Raw genomic sequence first — 16910 nt, forward strand, 5'->3', positions numbered from 1 at the left:
GATTGAAAATGCAATCCATAAATGATTAAACAGTAGAATACAGCAACTAAAGCAGAATGACTAAAAGGAGGTAGAAGAAAGAAATACCTTTGAAATATGAACTAAAGCATATTACTAAACAACTAGACATACCTATTTTCTTCAGGAACAGAAGAGTAGCAAGAAGAGTATGTTGTTATCAAGAAAAAAATAAATATAAAGGTGGCTCTTAGAAGAGACTTTGCAGAAGCTGGAAATTGAGGGAACAGCTGAAATTACTGTGATGCTTTGGAAATAATTGCCACAACTGCAGACAAAAAGTACATGCTGCATCCAGATGTACAGTTAAAGGTTGATGCTAATATATCTCTGATACTTGACCTGTTCACTATTTCCCAGCATACCAATCTTCTCTCCTGTTAGTCCTTATAACAATGGACTGGATACACTATCCCTACAATATGAACTACCACATAGAGTCATTTTTTTCTGATTTAATTAAAAGCTCCACGTAAACCAATGTGGATGTTGTAAATCATGCCGAGTTGTGGTACACATGCCTCTGTAATATTAACAGTGGCCCCAAGGCTAAATTTAGCTATACCACATTATTAAATCCTATGAGTGTAGCTAACATCAGAAAAATGTTTTGAAAGCATAAATATTTTAGCATGAAGATTTAACAAAAATGTATTTCATCATATCAGAATATCAGGGGGGAAAAACTCACTCATTTATAACTGAGCCAAAGGAGAGCTGTTTGCATTTTGCCTTGTCTGTAACTTGGAGATGTATCCTATAAGCGTTCTTTGGTGAGATAAAAACCAGTTTCTATTTTCCTACTAAAATATTTTTAAAAATTGTATTTACCTGGCACTGATTAGTTTGCTTGGTCTTCAGACACAATAAGAACATGTTTAGGTTTCTTCATTAAGAAAGTAAATATAGAATATTCCAAAAAGGCTTTAGAAAATTCAGCAGAACTAATGTAATAAACATACTCACTCTAACATGCATAATAGTAATATAATTTACATTAAATGGATATACAATATTTTATATTTACTTATTTTGCCAACTATTGACAAAATTTTGGAATTTCGCTATGATTTAATATTACTTCTGAATATATATATTAGTAGATAGATTATATCATTGATACTTTTCACTAAATAAGAAAGAAAAAGGAAAATTGATGAGCTAGATGATATTTTAGAAAGCCTCTTTTCTTTCTTCACAAAGGATATTTTCAGTACACCCACTACCACCACCATAACTAAGAGCCTACTATTTGCCAGTTACTATAAACATATGATTTAATTTTATCTTCACAATATCTGTAGTGAGGTATGAATCTGGGGAAACTGGTACTGTAAATGCCTTACAGCTTGGAGAAGAACAGTGGCTAGGTATGCATCTTCTCTTAAGTTAGGATAAAATCTTCCTGACAGTGACTTTTTCTACTAGAAATATTGATAGCACAAATATTTGCAAAGAGTCACTCAAATATGTGCATTAGGTCCAGAAATAACTTGTCAGTTAATTTTTAAGAAATAATCATGTAAGCCCCATGTATAAAAGGATAATAGCACAATCAGGTATTAATCTTCTCAAATTCTGTATGCCTAAACTTTGCTTGCATGGACCTTGGGGCTCAAGGGCAGCTGTGTACTTATGGGCTGCATCTACTCCTTTGTAGCAACCTCATTTCCTCTGTGTTTTATTATTGTTGTTATTGTCATTATTTTGCTAAATAAATGTGAAATTTTATTGTGAGCATTCTATTCCCATCATTATGTTACCTACCCTAGAACACCTCATAAACATGATTTAGCAGAAAGCAAATTCACAGAGTTGAAGGAATTGATCATACTACTCTACTGTAGAGAGAACCAGAATCCACACCCAGCTCTTGTTCAATAATGCTTCTTTAGGTAGAGTTGTTTAAGGCTCCATATGCACCAACATTAATAATTGACATTAAGACTTGAATCTTACATGGAGGTAGGCTGGATAGTGGATTTTTTCATTGAGTGACCAATTGTTTTGTTTTGGGGGGACTATTGGGTTTCCCAGGATGTGGGACTTCCAGTGAGTCCAAGGCAAATTAGGATGGTTGCCCTGCCTAAAGATGACATTTTGACATAATCTATCCTAGTATTCGGAGTGAATAAGTAATATGACTGGCCACATGAACTTAAGAAAATAATATTTTGTATTTTATTGTATCTCCTTTGTTAGAGCCAGTAACCTATAAAAGCAAATTGTCAGTAAATGATCATGGAGCTATTCTAAGCCACAAGTTATATGTGACTAGCTCAAAAATCATCAAGAAATTGTAAAATGTATTTCTACCAACTGAATTATTGCCTATGATAATGCAATTCTTAGTATTTCACTAGACCAGTAAAACTCTGAAAAGAACCAAGCTGTGGTCTACAAATCCATAATCTAGCAAGTTTGAAAATTAAAAATTAATTGTTCTTAGGAGTATAAAAAATCCTATTACTTTATTTTAGCATATCCTCGACCCAATCTACTGAAACAAATACAAAATACATGGTCTGGACTTTTGCAAGATTTTCTAATGAATAATTATTTTAAATTTTTCAATTATAATCTAACAGCATATTAAAAATAATACATATTTAAAGTTAGAAAAATATAATCAATGAATATCCTAGATGTTTGCTAAAACACAGATTATTTGATATGGTCCAAAATATTTGTATTGTGAGATGGCTTTTAGTGTTGTCTTTCATTTGACTAAGGCTGTTTATTGTATCTGGATTATGATATCTTCTGGGAGAGTTACTAGTTTATGGGGTATATTTATGTTAAGAACCCATAGTTTCAAGATACATTTGAATAAAGAAATACAAAAATTTCATTGGTAGGACAACAAAATGCACCAATGTAGGGCGATCTCAGCAACATGCAAACTTCCTTTTATGACAGTAATAGAATTTTAAAAAATCTGGGTCATCTTATTGCTCTGGATACTGCCTTAGGAAAACCAAAGTTGAAACCTCTTAATGACCATTGCTTCTGTTCAAGATTTGCTGTCTTATCATCATCTATATTTTTACATTTCTGAAGTTACATTAGTGAAAATAGGTCATATATGTGCTTGATTACCTTAGGAAATGACAGAGCACTGAAATGAAGAATCTGTTGAATATCAACAACCACAACCTTGCAAGTTTCTTCTATTTCCTAATAAACCATTATCAATTTCATAAAAAATATTTTGTATTTATGTTAAACATTTGTTCTCCTAATAGGTTAGATATAAATATACCTAGAATATGAGTCATTTCTATAGATTTTAGTGGGAAATACTAATATCTAACATATGCAGTGACAAAAGTCATCCATAAAATGATCATGAACTTATTTCAAGATTAATCATCCATGATTGAAGCTATACCCTGTAGGCAGAACAATGCTGTCCCCAAAAGATGCCCATGTGTTATTATTTTTGAAAACAAAAATGTTTTCTTCATTTTTAAGAAGGTGAAAAATAAGTTTAGAGAAGCTAACTATTAGTAACATCATAAAAGATTTCAGAACCAAAATTTAAACCTTATACTTTTGAATGTTAAAACTTATGCAAAAGAGTTACAGGGAACATCTTATTCTCTATATCTACAATATTCTAATAAGATTTGTTGTGTTCCATTATTGGCTGTAGTAGTAAACACTGTTGTTCAGATAACCTGGATTATTATCTATGATAAAAAATTATTAAAGCACCCATATTTCCAATATTTTAGCGCATGAAAGGTGAAAAGTCCAATGTTTTTTCTTCCATTTCACATATTAGCTTTGCCCTCACTGAAAAAGAAACTCAGGGAAAAAAATCCAAGAATAATGCACAAGTTCACTGACTTATCATTTATGTCCCTGCTGTAATCTTTTGACGATGCTTTTAAAAATCCATGATGTATAACAGGAGTGATATCTGTCTCTCCCTAAAATTTCATCTTACCTTCTTCCTTTAGAGTTGTGTTCTTTGTATTTCCCCAAAGCTAAGAATACAAGGCCATAAATGTTCTCAATAGAGTCACTTCTTTAATTTGAGTTCTCAGTGAGGAATAGGCTCTTTAACATATCTGACTCATTTTCTTGCTTTGATTTAGCATATATTATAAACTTATGTCTGAAATTTTAAGGAAAAGCAATCCTAAATGCAAAGTCCACATTCAGTAATTTGGGAGTATTATAGACTGAATTGTGTCTTTCCCTCCAAATTCATATCCTGAATCCTGTCTGTGTGACTGTATTTGGAGATAGGGCTTTTACAGAGAGGTAACCAAGGGTAAATGAGGTCCTAAGGATGAGACTCTAATCAAATATGGCTAGTGTCCATGTTTGGGACACTAGAGGAAGGGACACTAGAGCTTTCTCTCTTTCCCTCCATGAATGCACAGAGGAAAGGTTATATGAAGACACAGCAAGAAAGCAGCCATCCGCAAGCCAAGAAAATAGCCTTCACCAGAAACCAACCCTGATGGCACCTTGTAAACTTTTGACCTCTAGACCTATGAGAATATAAATTTCTACCGTTTCAGTCACTCAGTCTGTGGTGCTCTGCTATGGCAGCCCAAGCTGACTAACATAGGACATCATCATACGTATACCATCTATTTTCACAAACCTAAATAGTCCTTAAAAACTGTTATTGATGGTTAACTAGCATATCTAGATTCTAATAAATGATTCTCTTGATTATCTAGATGCTATGAAGATCATCTAAACACAAGAGGCTAGAGAAATTCATATGGCTAAGGAAAATGGCTGATGTTAGTACTAAGGTGCAAGTTACGGCAAAATCTTTGCTGCTACTTCCTCTTGCACTTACACTGGCTGTCTATGACCATAGGTGTAGCATATCGCAAGAGAAATTGTTTTTGTATTTTGTTTCATGCCCACAGCTATCAAAATTTATATAACTAAGATATTTTCTTTTTCATAAGGCTTAAGTAAGTTAGTTAAATTCCTCTAAACATGAAGAGAACTATCATGAATAGATAACAGTATACCAAAGGTTTTATACTGAAATTCACAACAATTTCTGGACATTTATATCATAACTTTCCTAAGAGCTATATAAAATAATAAAAAGAGATAATAGTTGCCTAACATAGGAAACAAAGACGTTTCTTGACCTCTATCTTTTTCCATGAAAATTTATTGAGACAAAAAGAAAAAAAAAGAGTAGAAGAGAAAGGAAAAAAAATTGAAGAATAAGTGAGAGAGGGAGGGAGGAGAAAGATAAATATTTTCCCTCTATTTCTATAGCCAGTAATACTTTTATGGCTTGGTTTCTTGAATTAAATCCCATTTAAAGATGATATCTTAATTAGATAATGTTTATAAATGCTAAGGTAGAGCAGACTAAATCAAGGGACTTATATAATTAGGCCAAATGAGCCACACCTATCCCTTTTTTATACACTTCATCATAACCTCTCAAGCAGGTAAAAAATATGTTTTTCATCCTAATATAGGTAACCTACTTAATTCTTATTTGCCTTTGAAGTTGTGAGACATCAAGTCATAAGTGCTTGAAATTCATTAAAATAAATAAAACTTGTTTTATCATAATTTCTATGTGTCCTAGTGTTGGTAACACACATAATATAAGAAATTTAAAATAATTTATACTCAGTTATCCTAATTATGATAATTTCAAAATACACCTATATTACCATCTAAACTTATAAATTTTAACAGGCTTATTTTAATAAACTATGAGAAATACAGCTACATTAAGAATTTACCAATCAAGGGAGTATATATTCATGGCAATTTGAATTTATGCTCCCAGGTTAAAGATATATATAAATTTTAAAAATAATTTACCAATCAAGAGGTAAGCCCCCTTTTCATCCAAATATGAGTAGGGAAACAACCAAAACAACTTCTAGACCCTCCTAAGCACTGTGTCAATTGGTCAGGGTGCATGACAATAAATAAATAAATAAGTCACTTTATCTTTTATAAAATTCTATGAACTGTCTTGATAAATTTTAAGACAGCTAGATTAGGTGTGATACATAATGACACTTCTGTGGCAGGAGACATTTTCATAGCATGCCAAACAAGAAATGGGAGTCAACAAATTAATTAACACTTTCTCTGGCTGATATACAATTATGAGTTCCACCACAATGCTATTTCACAGTAGGAAAGTTAAGAAACCACATCACTGGAATTCTACAGATGACATTGACTTTATCATGACACCTAGACACTGCCTTTCGAAGCAGTTCTAGATAATTAATTTCTATTCACAAAATGGAATGGGCTCATGGAAACAGTAGGATAACAAGGACTACATATTATTATCATCCAAAGTAATTATTTAAACTTGTTTAAAGTGTATACATTGCCAGGCCATCTGCCAGGAAGTCTAGTTCAGCAGGTATGGGATGGAGCCAGAAAACTTACTCCATGGTGTAACTGTTCTGCAGTAAGAACTTTTTAGACATTTTTACTTCTAGTATACATTGTTTCCATCTTTACATCCTGTATCATTTGGGCATTGTGCAAATCAGGTCCATAGACTGACTGCAATTAAAAAGTTGATGTGATTGTGGAGATGTTCCAGTGGCATTTTGTCTCTACCAAAAGTACATTGATTAGCCAATTATTTGACATTCATTGAAAGAATAATTTCTAAAGTAAAGTAAGACTTTTATAAACATATTGGTTTACAGAGAAGATTAACGAAACATATTACAATATGTATAATTTTCTTCTTTCAATAAGGTACACATTTTCCTTGACATTTTGCAAACCAACAGTTTAAAATACAGTAATTTTACGTACATCACTTAGAGATTCAAAACAGTAAGAATCACTAGGAGCAACTGACTTTCACATTGATTATAGCAATGGTAACTTATGTTCCTCTTCCACTATTAAAAGAGCAATGAAATATCTCGCATGCAATTACTTGTAGTTTACAGACTCATTTGCATGAGGATGTTCTAAGCTTAATTTATACCCTGTGTATTTTGAAAGCTACCTCATTTATTTCACCTATTTGAAATTCACAAACCCTTCCAACTATGAGCACCACCAGATGGAAAAATTTCTGAAGTGAACCCAGTTTGAATGTGTAAAGTATGAAGCATATGACATGTCTGATTACAGTTACTGAAGAGTTGAATAGGTACTAGTTTATATTTTTAAACTCAATTACTTACCATAATTCTAATACTCATTTTGCAGTGAACATCAATCAAAAACTTTGTGAGATAATTTATAAAGGTGAATAATAGGTTTTTATGTTTGCCCAGTCTAGATACATATTAGCTGAAAAATAAAAAATGCAACATAAAGCTGAAAGGTTAAATAAAGTATCTCTAGTACAGCACTCCTGTGACCTCCATAGAACAGGTATTCAAAGACTGTTTTCTAAGCCAAATTTTTTTTTTTAATAATCACAGAAATAAAGTCATCCAGTTACTTTAAAAGATCTCAGGAATTCTATCACTTTTCCTGGTAATCTTCCCCTTTTGGCTTTAAGGTATGAAGTCCTTATTTATTCCTAACAAAACACTCTGGCTGAGATTTAAGTTCATTTTCTCCATCTCTGTGAAAACTAAGAAGAGCTGTCAGTCTCCTATTTAGAATAACTCTTCAAACACTGGAGTCAATCTAGTCCCCATTCCTTATGAGCTGTGGGACCTTGGAAAATGATAAAAATCACATCTACAACATAAAAATATTAAATATAATTTTATTGGTTATCTTTGTCTTTAAAGAATTTTTGCATAAGTCAATTTAGTTCATTCTCAAAACAATCCAGTGAGGATGCTTTAATTGCTGCAGGACAGTTCATTATGTGTCAGATGATAGAAAAATACATGACAAGAAAAATCTACCTGTTTATGTTCCTATAGTTATAAAAATAAACTGAGATAAAAACACTAAAGATTTTAAAAATTAATAAGGCACTGCTAAAGTGCAAAGTGGTAACTTAATTAATAATATATACTAGTGTTTTTTTCTTCCTCATTCCATAGTAATTCTTTTATTCATCCCATAGGCCATACTTTCATTTTATTTTTAATTTTCTCTGTATCTATATATTTCAAAAAAATTAAAGAAGCTAAGAAAAACAAAATTAGTTATAAGGCACAATACATTTCATGCCATGAAGAATAACATAATTATAACCAGTTCTTATATGTTAACCTGTTTATTCTTGTTTCTCAATATCCAATTTCCCCTTTTTTAAGTCAGATGAGATTAACTTTTATAAGTGCTAAGTCCACTAAGATTTTATATTTCTATTTTTTTCTGCAACATAATTTCCATCACTTTTTTTTTTTTTTTTGAGACAGTCTCTCACTGTCACCCAGGCTGGAGTGCAGTGGCGCTATCTCAGCTCACTGCAACCTCCACCTCCTGAGTTCACGCCATTTTCCTGCCTCAGCCTCCCAAGCAGCTGGGACTACAGTCGCCTGCCACCATGCCCGGCTAATGTTTTGTATTTTGAGACGAGGTTTCACTGTGTTAGCCAGGATGGTCTCAATCTCCTGACCTCGTGATCTGCCCACCTCGGCCTCCCAAAGTGCTGGGATTACAGGAGTGAGCCACCGTGCCCAGCCTCCATCAACTATTTCTTATGATTATTGATAAAGTTTAATTTTCTCTCATTGTTCTTGTATTTTAATGACTTTTAACTATACGAAATAGAGCATTCTCTAGTTTTTTTTTTTCTTTTATTATTATACTTTAAGTTTTAGGGTACATGTGCACAATGTGCAGGTTAGTTACATATGTATACATGTGCCATGCTGGTGCACTGCACCCACTAACTCGTCATCTAGCATTAGGTATATCTCCCAATGCTATAGCTCCCCCCCCGACCCCACAACAGTCCCCAGAGTGTGATGTTCCCCTTCCTGTGTCCATGTGATCTCATTGTTCAATTCCCACCTATGAGTGAGAATATGCGGTGTTTGGTTTTTTGTTCTTGCGATAGTTTACTGAGAATGAAGATTTCCAATTTCATCCATGTCCCCACAAAGGACATGAACTCATCCTTTTTTATGGCTGCATAGTATTCCATGGTGTATATGTGCCACATTTTCTTAATCCAGTCTATCATTGTTGGACATTTGGGTTGGTTCCAAGTCTTTGCTATTGTGAATAATGCCGCAATAAACATACGTGTGCATGTGTCTTTATAGCAGCATGATTTATAGTCCTTTGGGTATATACCCAGTAATGGGATGGCTGGGTCAAATGGTATTTCTAGTTCTAGATCCCGGAGGAATCGCCACACTGACTTCCACAATGGTTGAACTAGTTTACAGTCCCACCAACAGTGTAAAAGTGTTCCTATTTCTCCACATCCTCTCCAGCACCTGTTGTTTCCTGACTTTTTAATGATTGCCATTCTAACTGGTGTGAGATGGTATCTCATTGTGGTTTTGATTTGCATTTCTCTGATGGCCAGTGATGACGAGCATTTTTTCATGTGTTTTTTGGCTGCATAAATGTCTTCTTTTGAGAAGTGTCTGTTCATGTCCTTCGCCCACTTTTTGATGGGGTTGTTTGTTTTTTTCTTGTAAATTTGTTTGAGTTCATTGTAGATTCTGGATATTAGCCCTTTGTCAGATAAGTAGGTTGCGAAAATTTTCTCCCATTTTGTAGGTTGCCTGTTCACTCTGATGGTAGTTTCTTTTGCTGTGCAGAAGCTCTTTAGTTTAATTAGATCCCATTTGTCAATTTTGGCTTTTGTTGCCATTGCTTCTGGTGTTTTAGACATGAAGTCCTTGCCCATGCCTATGTCCTGAATGGTAATGCCTAGGTTTTCTTCTAGGGTTTTTATGGTTTTAGGTCTAACATTTAAGTCTTTAATCCATCTTGAATTGATTTTTGTATAAGGTGTAAGGAAGGGATCCAGTTTCAGCTTTCTACTTATGGCTAGCCAATTTTCCCAGCACCATTTATTAAATAGGGAATCCTTTCCCCCATTGCTTGTTTTTCGAGCATTCTCTAGTTTAAGACAATTTAAATCTTAGCCAAAATCAGTGTTCCTCCATTGCTGAACCATAGGAGGGTCCCAATAAGTTTCTGATGAATAGAAAAATAAATGTATAAAACAATGAACATTTTGAAATCTTGGCAACTCGATGGAACACATGTTGATGAACCAATGTCATAGTTGACTTTTTAAAATATATTTTACAATAAAGTCCTAGGTTTAATCTTTTTATCAACTGAGTTAGTTGGATTTGCTGACCAGCTCTTTGTTGGAAGAACTAATAAAGTGTGTTTCACATGCTTTATACGTATCCACTCATTAATTCTTTCTACAACTTCATGAGTTTATGAGGAAATCAGGCAAAGAAGAGTAAGATGACTTGCTCAACAAGGTGCAAAAGCTAGTAAGTGGCACAAGCAGAGTCTAGACCCAGACACAAAAAAAGCCCACACTTTTAGAGATTTTTGTTTAATGGGAAAAGGGTCTTTAAAAATCTTTAGTCTAATATAGTTACTTAAAAGTAAAAACTTATATACCTAATGTAAATGACGAGTTAATGGGTGCAGCACACCAACATGGCCCATGTATACATATGTAACAAACCTGCACGTTGTGCACATGTACCCTAGAACTTAAAGTATAATAATATATATATGTAAAAATTTATATTGATATGAAAAATTGGAGTTTCTCAAAACCAGTTCAAATTTTAATTTATTAAAGTAATTCTTTATGCACATTCATACAAAATATGTTTTTCTCATATACCTTCTCTTTGCTCTTTCATTTATCAATTTCTTCTAAATATGTTTACCGTTATTCTGGGGTCTATATTATTGAACAAAGGCTAACTTAAGTTTCAATCCTATTAATGTTTTCACATTTTCTACAAAAATATTGTTCTAAAAACATCTATCTGAAATTACCTATTAGTTTTCTTGACTTGACACAAAGTAAAAGAAAGTTTCTTTTACTTAACTTTGAAAGCACAAAACTCATTTAGCAACTTCAATCACGAATTTTTATATGTAGAATCTAGTATTTCTCAAGAATATTTTTGAACAGGATATATGCTCGTTAGTGACATTTTAGAATGCAATACTTTAAAGAGCTATAATTTTGTATGTTATACACGTAAACATATTACATGGAGTATATTACAATGACATTTTACTGTGTCCATGTATGAAGCTTTTCAGATATCCCAGGATTTTCTGGGAATAAAGGTGCTTATTCCTACATACACCGTAGAAATCATTTGGTCTTTAAAAAAGTTAAAGAGAGTTTTTAAACATTAGTTGTAGATAAGATACATGTAACATACAGAGATAATTCCATACCTGTTTTATTGGACAGTCTAAACGACACCATCTTATCAGGAATATTACATACATTCCTCACTGAAGCAATGCAGCTATAATTAGCATAGTCCTGAGGTCGAAGATTCTTTAGTTTTAAGATCTTTGTTTCACCCTGAAAATGTACACAAAAAATAAAAGTCATTAGAAAAAGCCAACACAACCAGAATGAATGAAACATCACATCACATTACATTGTATTAAATCATATTATTATCAGAATATGACAGACTGTCTTTTTTTAAGGGAAATGTCCTATCTTTCAAATAAGTTATAAATGAACTAACTTTAAAATAACACTGCATTTTAAAATAATACTGTAATATTAAGTATGCCTGGAGATAAAAACTAACAGACTACAATGAAAATTCATAACATTTTCTTTGCAAACTAGCTTCCTCAGGGGAAAAGTCTATTTCTGGTGGTAGTTATGCAAATTATTATGCAAAGATCAGAGCAGTGTACTTAATAATGGAGTGCATTCAACAAACACTGCAATCTATTCAGACATCGATGTGAGAAGACAAAAGAAAAGAATCTGAAGAAGCGCCAACAAATGAAACACGGTTGTTAGAACAAAGTTAATTACGTAAATCTAATGATAGATAATTACATTTATAAACATAAATATTTTGTATATGGAGCAATGACAGGTGACAGATCTAAAACTGAAGGAAAGAAGCATTCGTGAGTGTTTCTATATTATTATTGTTCTTGTTATTTCATGTTCAAGAGTTTAAGGGGTAACTCTCCAGGTAAATCTGCACAACTGTAGATAGATGCAAATCAAGCAAGTGGCCAGAAGTATCTAACAAACTCTTGATGAACCAAGAAAGACTTTGTAAAAACATTGGATTGAAATTGTTGAAAGGAAAAAAAGAACAAACAACAAAACGTAGTCTCCTGCCCAATTCAAATTAGGTCCCCTGGGCTTTCTTTGCCTTCTAAAGTCATTAATGCATCATCTCAAAATAGTTCTTCTTGTAAATAACTTACTTATTTTAATGGCAAAACAGTGTCTCAATGATTTTATAGTATTAGGGATACTATAAAAATTCAAAATGTTTATTTTTTCCAGATAACGTGTGTACGGAACAATGTGTTTCATCACTTTACCTGGGTAACATTTGTCGAGTTCTAAAACTTGCAATACTTTCATATGTTATAGAGGAGGACTGGAATACTTAGTGACTTACTACATAAAAACACTGCTGTTCATTTGCAAGAAAGCTTACCCAGACATAGGCACACAGTTTTGCAAATCTGTCAAATGAATCTCTATTCTAGTGTGCATGGAATTGTGGCCATAAGTATTTTCATTCACTGTCCAAATTCAGTCTTAAATCAGTCACCCCTTTAGCATTTTCCTCAGTGGTAAAAAAAAAAAAAACAAACAAACAAAAAAAAACTACCTTTCAATTTTTGTTTAGAAGAAACACTGAATTTTTAACTTACAAGAAAATATAAATGTATCCGATACAAGTATACACATAAATCTATATGTTTCTAGAGTTTATATATAAAACTATTCTCTTGTGTTACAGAATTCCCATACATGATATAAAATGCCTAGAAAGTGGGCTTAGCTAGAAAGAACAGTTGAAAGAAAATGATATGCTAGAATTAGTCAACTCAGATAATTTTTAAATAAAGTGATACATCTTACCTCTCCTACCTTTGTCACACGTATTGCTCAAATTTCTTTGCTTTTCTTTCTCCTCTCAATACGACTAGTGTTATTCCTTGGAATTCTACTTGTTCCATAGTTAACCTCACTTTATAACATTTCATTAGGTGGCATTATCCTTGCTGATGAATTTCTACTACAAGCTCTATTTTCTTGCCCCACTCCCAAGTCTAAGCCCCATTTCCAGAATTCTCCCTTAAGTTTCAGATACACATAACAAATGTTTGTCAATATGTCCATTCTGATACTTCAGACACATCTGAACTCAACATATCCTAAATTGAACTTCAAATATATTCCTTTAAACCTACTCCTCCTTCTGTAATAATGGGAATTTACACCCAATTATAACTTCTTATTCATACATTCAGTATCTCTGTCTCTCAGCTAGATCCTTTTATTGATCTTTACTCATGTTCAATCCCAATTATTCTTTGTATCTATTTTTAATCATAATGCTCTAAACCCTACAATCAACTAAAAAACTCATGATTGTACTTAGTATAGCTTAAGAATGCAAGCAAGCCACAATGATTTACACTTTAACCAATATTTTTTTCAGCTTTATTGAAGTATAATGGACAAAATAATTGTATACATTTAAGGTATACAACTGTGCTTTGATATACATTGTAAAATAATCATCACAATCGAGCTAATTAACATATACATAACCTCACATAATTATTTTTATTCACTTGTTAAATACATGAAATCTAATTATGCCATCTCCTTGCCAGACTTCTCCCTTTGCCAGTAAGTACCCAGAGAGTAGAGATTATGTCTGTCTTGCTCTCAGCATTATATTCTGGGCACGTGACACAGGGCTTAGCAGAGAGGAGACAATTTTTAAGTTAATACTTTTTCAGTTAATAGTACTGTAACTACCCAAGGTTTGCTTTATATATATTTATTTCTCCAGAATTTACTATTTGTTTGGCACTGGTATAAACTCAATATAATTAAATGAGTAAAATATAATCAGAGCCTAAATACACTTAAGAGAAAAATTCCCTTACATTATTACAGATAATCAATAGATATTTGTGCATATTGTAAAAAAGAAAGTGGGTCTGTTACTCTAGTAATGATTTATCTAGATTGTGCTTTTAGGTTTGGAAGGAAATTTGAACTGAAGACAAATTATCAGGACAAAACTCAAGACAAAACTTGAGCCATATCAAAAGAAATAAAACAAATGAAAATCAGTAGAATTACAACTGAAAAAACACATGGATATAGATATTGATGATATATAGGTACAGATACATGCAGTTACATATATATGATGATATAATGAAACAATATATAATACATGCAATTACATATTTATGTGTGTATATATACACACACACACACTATATATATATATATATATCACACACATAATTACTCCAAAAATAACCAACCTCTAATCATTCTGAAAGATTTACTGCATGTAGTCAATATTCTAAAAGCAACCACGGAGTGATAATGATTCTCAGATATAAACAAATAATGAACATTGTCATTTAGATGTATATTTAATAATAAAGTCTCTTTACTCACATAGAGTTAATTATACTCTGTCAGTCCTTGTTTCTGTTTCCACTGACAAATTCTGTTTCAATTTGCATTTTCTGAATAATACTTTTCCAACATTCCACTGAAATAGTACCTAGTAATTTCATTAATGATGATGATCTCTTGTTAAAATTTAATAAACCTTTCTTTTGTATGCTTCCATACTTCTCTGCTTATTTCTAACACTTTAGATTACCTTTACTACTGTGACAGCTCCTCGTATATAGGCAATTAATTACAGATATAATAATTTAGTCATTTCTTGGTTGTTTTACCATTGAATATTCTAGTTACTGAAGTCTGCAACCTTTTACTAATATATTCCTAGTGAAATCTGATCCATTATCATGGTTCCAATGAGCACTAATGTATAGATAACTGACAAATCTCTAGACAAAAAGAAAAAAAGCAAACTTACTAAAAATCACCAATAGTATTATAATTAATAAATTCTAGATTATCCTAATTTTTCTTGTCCTTGGAGTTGCAATGTTTGCTAGCATACATTATAGGACATACTTAAATTTTGGTCTATCCCACTCAACATTTTCCCCAAGAAGAAATGTAGTCTCTTATCCTTTTGGATCTCTTAAGATAATCTATGCTGCATTTCTAATTCTCTTTTCTTTTTTTTTCAGGGGGTGGGCGGGGTCAAGGTTTAAGGGCTAGAAAACCTTGAATTGTTCCCCTTCACTGAAAGGTCATTTCAAAAACCGTTAGTTTGTCATTTGAGACTCTATGCAGTCTAAGCAAAACACTTTTTCCTTATTCCTCACATAAACTCTTCATTCTCATCAAATTAGTTATGTCACTATCTTGAGGTATCTCTTTATGATTTCCTAATGCTCCCCATTCCTTGCTATGAGTCATTTTTTTGTTCCTATCTGAACTGATGTGTCCTTCAAAAAATATATTGTGACTGGAGTGCAGCGCAACAAAGAGCATAAAATGAGATAAGATTTCAAAGCTTGGAAAAGGTCATATTAGAGGGGCTATGATCGCAGATTTATATTTATTCTAAAGTTACTTATTCTGTGTTTAACGCTACTAATCTCCTCTTTCTAATTTTTTTCACCAAGGCTTGCTTTCTCCTCTTGGAAGATACGTCAAACTTGATTTCCACCAACCCTAATTCTCCATTTCACCAAACAACTCTACTCTCCAGTCTTTTTGAATTTTATCTGACAGCCATTATTTCAAGAAAGTGTTTTCTCTCTTTTTTTTTTTTTTTTTTTGAGACATAGTTTAGCTCTGTCACCCAGGCTGGAGTGCAGTGGCGCAACCTCGGCTCGCTGAAACTCTGCCTCCAGGTTCAAGCGATTCCCATGCTTCAGCCTCCCAAGTAGCTGGGATTATAGGTGCATGCCATCACACTGGGATAATTTTTATATTTTTAGTAGAGACGGGATTTCACCATATTGACCAGGCTGGTCTGGAACTCCTGGCCTCAAGTGATCTGCCTGCCTTGGCCTCCCAAAGTGCTGGGATTACAGGCATGAGCCACTGCACCAGCCTCAATATGAAGAGATTTCAACCTAAAAGCTCTTACTTCTGATCCATCCTCTAAAAGTGTATTCTTCCTATACGTATTCTCCTTTACTTTTTGAGTTAATGCTTTTGTCTATTTATATCAGTCACATTTGTGTATATATTTATATATGTTTTTATCATTTACATTATGTCTATGTATTGATCCTGCCTTTCCATTTAATGAGATCACTTCAAATTCTCTTCCCTACCATTTGGGCAGTGTTTTGCATGTTGTCAACTCAGAAAAGATTGCTGACTAGATAGGAATAGAGCACACAGTAAGGTTTTAGTAAGCTTCCTGAACCATGTTGACTCTAATGGTAGTAATAGGAACTTTAAAAATCTTTACATTAGGGTAGCCTGCAAGATAGATTTATGAAGCTGCATTTGGGGCCACCCATAGCAGAGCTGAACAGTCAATTATGGAAAAGAGAATGTAAAAGAAAGGTAAGCCCCAAGGGAAATATATACAATAATCAAGTACAGAGAATCAACATCAATGCAGCTCTGGCCATTAAAATGCAGAGGTGGCTTTTGTAAAGGATGCATCCTTAAAATATTTTGTATACCTGAATTTTTTTGGTCATGGACACTGCTGGTATTTATGTTATCTAAAGGTAAAAAATATGAATTTGGTGGTAATATTGATATTACAAAAGAGAATTTGTGCTACTGTTTGAGATGATTTCTATTCTTTAAAGACCTACAAGTGTGGCCCTATAAATACAATGGTATGCACATCCATATCCTAGTTAATTCTTATTCAGAGCACAGCAACAAA

At 32.9% G+C, this 16910-nt stretch overlaps 1 protein-coding gene across 11 annotated transcripts in view; it reads right to left on the reverse strand.

Moving 5' to 3' along the window:
* MDGA2 (MAM domain containing glycosylphosphatidylinositol anchor 2) overlaps nucleotides 1-16910 on the reverse strand; it is an 835983-nt gene that overhangs the window by 280760 nt on the left and 538313 nt on the right. For 10 of the 11 annotated variants that reach the window (NR_103766.2, XM_011536519.3, NM_182830.4 and 7 more), the window contains one exon: nucleotides 11332-11464. Coding sequence is in view for 9 of the 11 variants with exons in the window: in XM_011536519.3 (XP_011534821.1) it covers nucleotides 11332-11464 (133 nt within the window). In the remaining 2 variants the exon portion in view is untranslated. Of the gene's footprint in view, nucleotides 1-7196; nucleotides 7246-11331; nucleotides 11465-16910 lie in introns of those variants that run through there. The other variant, XM_017021060.2, reaches the window with a different exon arrangement.

Source organism: Homo sapiens, chromosome 14 (genome assembly GCF_000001405.40).
Source record: "Homo sapiens chromosome 14, GRCh38.p14 Primary Assembly".
NCBI lineage: Eukaryota > Metazoa > Chordata > Mammalia > Primates > Hominidae > Homo > Homo sapiens.